General features: G+C 47.2%; 1 annotated feature.

Moving 5' to 3' along the window:
* Window positions 8043–8942: an enhancer, noted in NCBI's record as "H3K4me1 hESC enhancer chr2:241264697-241265596 (GRCh37/hg19 assembly coordinates)". NCBI's record gives its function as "activates a minimal SCP1, AML or CMV promoter by ChIP-STARR-seq in primed H9 embryonic stem cells {active_cell/tissue: H9 hESC(primed)}" and the evidence as "EXISTENCE:reporter gene assay evidence [ECO:0000049][PMID:30033119]".

Raw genomic sequence — 9327 nt, 5'->3', positions numbered from 1 at the left:
TAGTCATACAATACGGCAAGGAAGTTGTCAAAGTCAACTGGGATTGCGTCCAAAGGATTCAGGCGCTGACCCAAAGTGGCTTCCACTGGCTAAAGACGGAGCCACTGAAGTTTCAGTAGGTACAAGAAATGCAACAGATGGAAGACTGCAAGTGTTCAGATGCAGTATACAGATTCGTATGTTAATGGATCTAAACATAAAATACGTGTGTGTGTATGTGTGTGTGTGTATAGCTGTATAACAAATTACCTAAAATCTTCTTGGCTTAAAAATGAGAGTAAATATTTATCTCACCCAATAGCAATGACTGACCAAGAGTGGACCCTCAGGGGAGTGGGGTCTGAGTTCTTTCCCACCTTGGGCCCCCTCGATGGCCAGCCCTCCCTTTACCCACACATCAGTCTGCTTGTCCCAAAACACCATGGCACTCCCCAAAGGTGTTTCCTGGAGGTGGCCCCAAGTCTAGGGTGCCCAGGCCAACATGCTTTCTGGAAACACTGCATGGATTTACTCTCTCCTTGGATATTTGTTGGTTCATGTCTCACCCCGTGCTCACCAGCACTAAGTATCATTTCTAGCAGTCTTGGCAATTTTGATAGGCAAAGCATGCTATTTACTCTCCTGTTTGTATTCCATTAATTTAAATAGATTAACACACATGTTTAATAACCATTTGCATTTCCTTTATTGTGAGTTTTTTGTTCGGTTTGTCCATTTTTTCTATTAACGTCCTAGTGTTGTCAAAATGTATGTACTTTCATCTGAAATCAATATATTCATATAGTTAAGCTATATTAGTGGATAAGTAGAACCATCTTTTGGCCCCAAGTCCCTCACCTTTGCCTTGCCCTCTGGGATGATTGCTTTTTGCTATTTGAACTCCTTCTTTTGGTTCTTGTTTGTCCGGTGATGACCTCCGGATTTCTGCGCACTGTGTCTGGAATTGGGATGGTAAGTTTACATTACTGTTGCCATGCTCTGAGGTCTTCCTGTGATGGCTGCAGAGAATTTGGATTCCTCACACCCTCTGATCATGGTGTCACAGAGCTTAGTTCTTTTATTGACTATCTTCCCTCCAGAATCATCACTAACCTCTGTTCACTCCTCCCTTCTTTCCTTCCTTCCTTTCTCTCTGTCTCTTTCTTCTTTCTTTCTTTTCTTTTTTGAGACAGAGTCTTGCTGTGCAGTGGTGCAGTCTTGGCTCACAGTAACCTCCGCCTCCTGGGTTCAAGCGATTCTCCTGCCTCAGCCTCCTGAATAGCTGGGACTACAAGCATGCGCCACCACGCCTGGCTAATTTTTTTTTTGTATTTTTAGTAGAGATGGGGTTTCACCATGTTGACCAGGCTGGTCTTGAACTCCTGACTTCAAGCAATCCACCTGCCTCGGCCTCCCAAAGTGTTGGGATTACAGGCGTGAGCCATTGCACCCAGCCTCACCCTTATTTCTAGAGTTCCCGCTTTGTAGGATGAAGATCTTTGCTCCCCTGCCCCACTCTTCACCGCTTTCCACCTTTCTTTCTCCCAGCCTCTGCCGAATGACATCTTACTTTCACTCATCAAGGTGGATGACATTTGCATTCTGCTCTGAAATTATAACTAAGTCTTCTCCACCCAAAAGTTTAAAACCTAAAATGTTAAAACCAGGAGTGTTTATCTTATTGTGACTATGTAAATATTTATTGTGAGACCAAAAAAGTCATTTATATTCTTTAATTGAAACTTTATTACATTACATTATCTATTCCAGACTCATGATATCATTTCCTCTATGGTCTAGCTATTTGTTTTCCTAGGACTTTTAATTGCCTTTTATTTCTCACATTGTCTGTCTTTATCACTCAGTGAGTTCTTTAAGAATCTCAAGGGTGCCTGACGTCTAACCCTCCTTCTCTACAATGCTTCCGGAACCTGTGTCTTCTTGCTTCCGTCACGATGCTTCTGGAACCTGTGTCTTCTTGCTTCCGTCACGATGCTTCTGGAGCCTGTGTCGTCTTGCTTCCGTCTGGGGAGCTGCTTGCCAGATGGCTGCACATCTGTGCCCTTGGTGTCTTCATCTTTTCTCTCCTGGGTTGTGTCCCACATATTTTCTTGTTCTGTTGGACTTTACTTCATTTTTCAAGAACACATCCTTAGCACAAGCGATCAAGGAAAAATACGTAAATTAGGCTTCATTATGATTAAAAACTTCTGTATGCTAAAGGACACTATTGAAAAAGTGAAAAGACAACCTATAGTAAGAGAAAATATTTGCAATCATATGTCTCTTAAGGACCTAGTCTCCAGAATATTGAAAGAACTCTCATAATTCTATAAGAAAAAGACACAGAAGCCGATTAAAGACTGGACAAAGGATTTGAATAGACATTTCTCCAAGGAAGACATATGAATGGCCAATAAGCACATGAAAAGATGTTCAATGTCATTAGTCATTAGGGAAATGCAAATTAATGGCAGGCTATAATTGAAGAAGGAAAACAACTGTTGGTGCAAAGATGTGGAGAAATGGGAACCCTCATCCATTGCTGCTGGGAATGCAACACGGTGCAGCCACTTTGGAAAACAGTCTGGTAGTTCCTAAAAACCTCAGACATGGAACTACCATATAACCCAGCAATTTCTTTCTTAGGAATATACCAGAGAGAACTGAAGACATATGTCCACATAAAAGCTTGTACGCAAATGTTTCTAGTAGCATTACTCTTAAGAGCCACGAAGGGAAAACAACCCAAATGTCCACCAGCAGATGAACAGAGAAAGGAATGAAGCACTGAATCATGCTACAACACGGACGAGCCCCCCAAAAAATTATGCTAAGTCAAAGAAGCCAGACACAAAGGGCCACAGATTTTATGATTCCATTTATTTGAAATATCCAGCATAGGCAAATCTATAGAGACAGAAAATAGGTTAGTGTTTGTCAGGGGATGGGTGGGGAGGAGGCATGGGGAGCACCTGTTGATGTGGAATTTTGTTTTAGGGTGATGAAAATGTTCTGGAGTTAGTGGTGACGATTGTACAATCTCATAAATAGCTACTGAACTGCACACTTTAAAATAGAGAATTTTATAGCATTCTATAAATTATATCAATAAAGAAAGAAGAAAAGATGAATAAGAAATCACATAACAATGTGTTCTTCCTTTATTGATGTAATTTATATAAATGCTGCTTTATATATAGCATAACTTTTACATATTTGTATTTTGATATAATATAAAAATTATGTATTAATATATTTACATCATCACATGATTTCTTATTCAAACAGTACCTGGGAAGAACACACTCTGAGACTTTGTGTATCTGAACATGTCTTCATTCTTTATTTACTTTCCCTTACTCATTGATTGATTGATTGATTGCTAGCTATGTAGGGCATGCCCCCTAGATATCTCCCTGGCTAATGCTTTCCTGGTGACTATCTCTTGGATTTTAATCACAAGTTGGTAGAACTTATGTCTTGAAATATATCAGTTTTTCAGTGGATGTTTGTGTGTACAGGAAAAAGTTACATCACTATTCTCAAAATGCAATTTGCAATTTTAAGTAAAACGATTGAATTACATTCCACATACAACAGGTAGAATGCCAGCACATTAGCAAAGGGTGTGGGACTTGGAGACAGCTGGTTCAGAAGCATCCCAGTCCATACAGCAGCCATGCGTGCACAGCCAGGCTGATTGTTCATGACTAGGATGGGCTGTCTATATTTTATACTCAAACATGATTCGTTACTAATATACAGAGGTTCCATCATGTTTTATCTCATTTTGGAAAAGTAGGGGGGGCAGTAAGATTGATATATAATACAGTATAATTATTCCTTTTAAAATAATAGAAAGTAGGTTCCCAGGTAGCATTTTCATGCAGAATGGCTGATTTGGGGGAATGGATTATTGATGCTACATGTGAGATGTCTGTTGTTTGGCTGGGTTAGAATTCTAGGTTCAAAACGATTTTCTGCAGGAAAATCACTCACACCTGGCAGGTGTTATTCCAGTGTCTTCTTGGGTCCAGGGTTGCTGCTGAGCCATTTGATGCCACTCCGGTTTTTGTTCTTGTTGAGTGGCCTCTTTATCCTCTCTGAGAGCTTTTAGAAGCTTTCCCTGGATGGCTTGCTGACCACCTGTGCCATATTTGAGTGTGCTCCCCTGGGCAGGCTGCTGACCCTCCCGCATCTCAGCTCCTCAGCTGTGAGCTGCAGGCGAGGATGACATGCTTCTCTCAGGTTGCTGTGAAGACAGACACGGGGCCATATTGGGGGCTGCCTGGCAGGTGCCACCTGGCCTTGGCCACTGTCAGTGTTCCCCTGCCTAGGTTCACGCTCCCATGACTTTGCCGGGCTCTTGATGCTGACCCCATCTGGCCTCCCTGGTGCTGGTCTGGGAGAACCATCACTAAGTCCTCCTCAAGAATCCCTGACTTCTTTAAAGCCCATATTGGTCCCTGCCCCAGGCTCTCAGGGTACTACCCATGCCCAAGGCTGGGCCTGCTGCCCGTGCCGTGCTGTAAACCAGGCCCCTGAAACAGCAACAGCAGCAGCTGCGGGAATTTTAGTGTACTCCAGTCTCCACGATCTATCCTGCTATCCCCACTGGAATCTCCTGTGAGGTCGGTGAACACAGGGTTGGGAAGAGGCCTGCATGTGTTGGCTCCAGGGCCAGGGGCTGCTGCCCCAGCTGCCAGCCCCTCCTCCACCCTCTGCGGCCCCTGCCCTGAGAAGCCCCAGCCTAAGCTGCCCACACCCGTGTGCCCTAGGGGACGTTCCCTCCAGCAGAAGGGACCCTTTGTCCTCTCCTGGCCTGGCTGCCTCCAGTGCACACTTCCGTAGCTGCCTTTCATCTTTGCATCCACCCCCTCACCTGCTCCGGACCCTTTGGGGCCGGGACTTGTCACATCTCCCTGTCCCCAGGGGCTAGCCCACGACTGAGGGCTCACTAAGCACATCAAGCTATAATAAATGCTCATTCCCTATACCAGCCTCCTCCTCCCCATGCTCAACAGCACCCTAGAGTGGGATTGTCCTTGCTGTCCCAGACATTGTTTTTTAAGCCATAAAAAGTTTATGGTTTAAGATAATATCTAGAGTGAGGGGCTCGGGCACAAAGTTAAAGGGGCATCAAAAAACTAGAGATTCATGATAAATAGTATCTTACTGCAATATTTCAAAAGACCAAATGCAAAATAAAATGTCTGATGGCCAAAATATCAACATTTGAAAGGAAGACGGGATTAGGAAGAGCCTGAGCCACGTTGGAGCCTGTGGCAAAGGACAACCGGGAACACAAATTTTGCCTTCCCTAAAAATTGATGGAGGTTGTTGAGGGTGGGTGTGGTCGATGTGGGTGCACCCTCAGATGCCTGTACAAGGAAGGGAGAGGAGCAGACAAGCCCTTCCATTCAGGGGCTGCCGGGATGACCCTCCCCGACCAAGAGCAGCTTGACAGGTGAGTGGGGCTACTGCCCACTCTGACATGGTTAGTGGCGCAGGTGTGAGGCCCAGGTGCCTGTCTCCTCTGCGAGTTTTATGCCGCATAAGTTGCCAAAGAGGAAGCGTCAGGGCGAGTGAAGCTTGGGGAAGGCAGGAAGATCCATTCTGCGAATAAGGAGGAGTTGGGTGGTTAGGAATAAAAAGGAATTCACAGGCCACAAGCACACGCTTTTGGTGTTGCAAGACTCTTGGGGAAGCTCAATGCATTTGGTTTAGTGATTCCAAGGGGGATGAGGAGGGAGCTGGACTCTTTCCCTTACAGGGCTAGGCGAGGGTCCCCATGCACCAAACTGCCAAAAACAACCGCTTCAGGCAAGAGAAATCACAGAGAAAATGGCTGGAGCCGTCTTCCAACCCCGGTCCCTGTGCCTTTTACGTCACTTCCTGAAGGTTTCATTGTGTCTGCTGATTACTGCTGTATAACCAGAAAACCTAATTAGCCAAAACGTAAGATGTCATGAGCAGAGGTTCAGATGTTCCAGGACGAGTAATACTGAGGGATTGCAAGAGGGAATGAGGCCTTTAACAGGATTTCTCCTGTGAAAGCAGCTTTGGACAGACGGGGTGCCTCTGCATCCACGAGGGAAAGGCTCCAGCTGTCTGCAATGTTCTTTGTGCAGGGATGTTTGCTCAGACACCCAGGGTCATGGGTTGAATGGTGTCCCCCAAAAAGATATGTTGAAGTCCTAATCCCCAGGACCTGCGAATGTGAACTTATTTAGAAATAGGGTATTTGCAGATGTAAGTTAAGGTTTTGCAGATGTAAGTTTGCAACTGGATTTTGGGGTAGGCCCTAAATCCTATTGTTATGGGATCCTTGGGGTGTCGCTTCACCAGCTGGAAACCTCTGTGGCCAGTGGTGCCTTTGCCTGAGTTTTGCTCAGGCCCGCTGGGCCCACTCAGCCTGGAAGGCTGTGCTCAGCTCGTGCTACTGGCCTGGATCCCAGGCCTGCCAAAGGCGAGCAGAGTGGCGAGGGGTGTGTGAGCGAGTGAGCGTGGGGTCCAGTGGCGCCCAGAAGCTTAAAGATGCCAGGAACTGCAGAGTCCTAAAGAGGGTGTCACAGTCCTGGCTCAGGGAGTGGAGTCCTCACGTGCTGGAGGAGGTAGAAGCTCTGCGAGGCCTTTTTAATAAGGGCACTAATCCCATTCATGAGGGTGGAACCAATCTCCTCCCAAGGGCCCCACCTCTTAATACCAACACAATGGGGATGAGGTTCCAACCTAGGAATTCTGGAGGGACAGCAATATTCACAGCACAGCACAGCCACAAGTCAAGCCCAGAAATGCCAGATTCACCAGAAGCTGAAAGACGAAAGGAAAGAGTCTTCTCTCGAGCCTTTGGAGGGAGCGTGGCCCTACTGATGCCTTGATTTTGAACTTCCCGCCTTTACAATGTGGCAGAAGCCACACAGTTCGTGGTAATTTGTTACAGCAGACCTGCGGGACTGATACAGACATGCGGAGTAAAATGTCAACACTTTTCTGAAGACTGGGGAAGATGTTGTAATGCAGTAAGAACGTGTTAAAATGAGAAAAGTGATCGTTTAGGTTAGAATTGCGTACTTTAATGTCAGCCTGGCTGAAGAACTTTGCCAGTGCTGCGGGGAGTGATTACTACACATGCTTGGTTCCCACGGCGGGGGCTCCACCAAAGGCCAGTCTGGCAGCACCTGAAATGGGGCTGAGCGCTGGGCAGCATTTCAGCGCTGATCCTCCTTCAGACAGTGTCATCCATGATCCCAGGTCAGGGTGCTGACAAGGACAGTTAATGGATAAGTAGATTTGCTGGAGGGCAAATATTGTCCTTTTGGCTTATTTAAATTTTCTGTTTTTCTTTGTGAAAGAATATGAGATCTTTCCAAATGATAAAAAGGCAATAGCCATTACTTTCATGCATGTACATATTTGCTTATTTATTTATTTAGAGACAGGGTCTTGCTCTGTCACCCAGGCTGGAGTGCAGCTCGAGCACAGTGGCACTGTGCACATAGCTCACTGCAGCCTCATCCTCCCAGGCTCAAGCAATCCTCCTGCCTCAGCTTCCTGAGCATCTGGCACTCCAGGGGCACACCACCATGCCTGGCTAATTTTTTGAAAATTAAAACCAAAAATTCATAAGGATGAGGTGTCACCATGTTGCCCAGGCTGCCATTACTTTGAAATAACAAGGCAAAATTGAAAAATGCCCCAGCGTGGTTTTCTCTGCCTTTACTCGGTCACGTGGATAGAAACTTCCATGGCACAGGGGCTGTTCTCAGGGACGAGGCTCCCAGGAAGCCAATTAGTGTTTCCTTCCCCTTCAGCCACATTCCTAGCTAATGATGCTGTTAAGTACCAGCCTTCTCCCTGCTCCCTTACTGTTCTGAATCACATTGCTGGCTTTAAAAGTGTTTAATGTATACCCAAACCTTTGCTTTCATCTTATGCATTAAAAGCAGAAATGTTATATTTTTAAGAGAGACATCAAAAAGGGAAGATGTGAGGATGCAACAGGCTCCCCTTGCTCCAGAATCCCCCGAGAGGCTGATTCTCTTCTGTACGTTGTCTTCACTTTGGCTGCAGTGGCCTCTCACAGCTCCCATCAGTGGACCTGAAGGGGCTTCATCTCTTGACCTGGGGCCAGGAGCTCTGCATGCAGAATGACAGAGGACCCTGGAGAGGCCAGACGGCCATTCACTGTGGGCCTTGTCAGTGTCTTTCTTCACCCTGGGTTTTACTGAAACTCTCTAAAAATAAGCAAAGATTTCCAGGGAAATCAGCTGCCTCTGGAGGTGTGGACACCTGAACTACTTTAGAAAGTACCAGGACTGCTGTCTCTGAAACCAGAGAGGCAGGACAGTGGCGGGGCACCCCCTGACTTCACAGGGGCCACGTGGTCAGGGCTGGCGAATTGGCCAGGTGCCAAGGTGGCCTTGTGCCAAGGACTGTTGTGGGTGGACACCACTCTCAGTGCACGCTGGCCATGCCGTGCAGTGTTTTTGGAAATGAAGAGCGGTTCATTTCCTCCCACCTGAGGAAGTTCAGCCACTCAGGTGCAGAGAGGGCCTTGCTGAATCCACTGAGCTCTGTCAGTTGGAGCCGGTCTGGGTGTGGAAAGAGATGGGCAGACAGCCATGGAACCCGTGATCTCTGTGCATCCTCATCCATGCAAGCCCTGCCTCTCAAATTCCAGGGTTTGGATCCTTGGTGAGCTTCCTCACAGAGCACGTGGGTGCAGAGCGTGGCTGGGTCACCTGCCTGCGTGCACAGTGAAGCTGGGCCGGGGTTGCAATTTATTCTCACCAGAGGGGACCCAGGGCATGGCTGCCTTTGAGGGGTCATGACAAAGGCAGTGTCACTGTCAGAGTCAGGATGCTGCCGGAGTGCTGGGGAGGGAGCGGGGAAGCAGGTGATTCAGCCCCCATCCAGAGTCAGGGAGCCCGCCCTTGTGACGATGGGATTGGGGGTCAGGCTCGATGGGAGGGAGGCGTGCCTGATGACAGGCTAATGCCAACCAGGGAGGGACCGATATGTCAACTGAGAGCCGTCTGAAGAGCAGCTTAGTCTAGACCTGAAGATAGCATCTACAGACCTTTCAAACTTGATTAAGACACACCTGCCACGCGAAGCAGGTGGACAGCAGACATGAGCGCCTTAAGACACAACGTGCTGACATCCGCAAAGGGGCCAGCAGAGCCCCAAGGGGACCTCTGTTCCTGGGCCAGAAGGAGCCTTTCCCTAGAGAAGGTCATTCCTCGGCTCCATCCCCCATAGAACAGTGCAGGAGAGTCACGCATCCCCGCTAACACCCATCAGCTGGTGAACGCTTCTCCCAGATACATCTCTACCAGGCTG

The sequence above is a fragment of the Homo sapiens genome, chromosome 2 (assembly GCF_000001405.40).
Source record: "Homo sapiens chromosome 2, GRCh38.p14 Primary Assembly".
Classification (NCBI taxonomy): Eukaryota; Metazoa; Chordata; class Mammalia; order Primates; family Hominidae; genus Homo; species Homo sapiens.
This window is presented reverse-complemented; position numbering and strand designations above follow the sequence as displayed.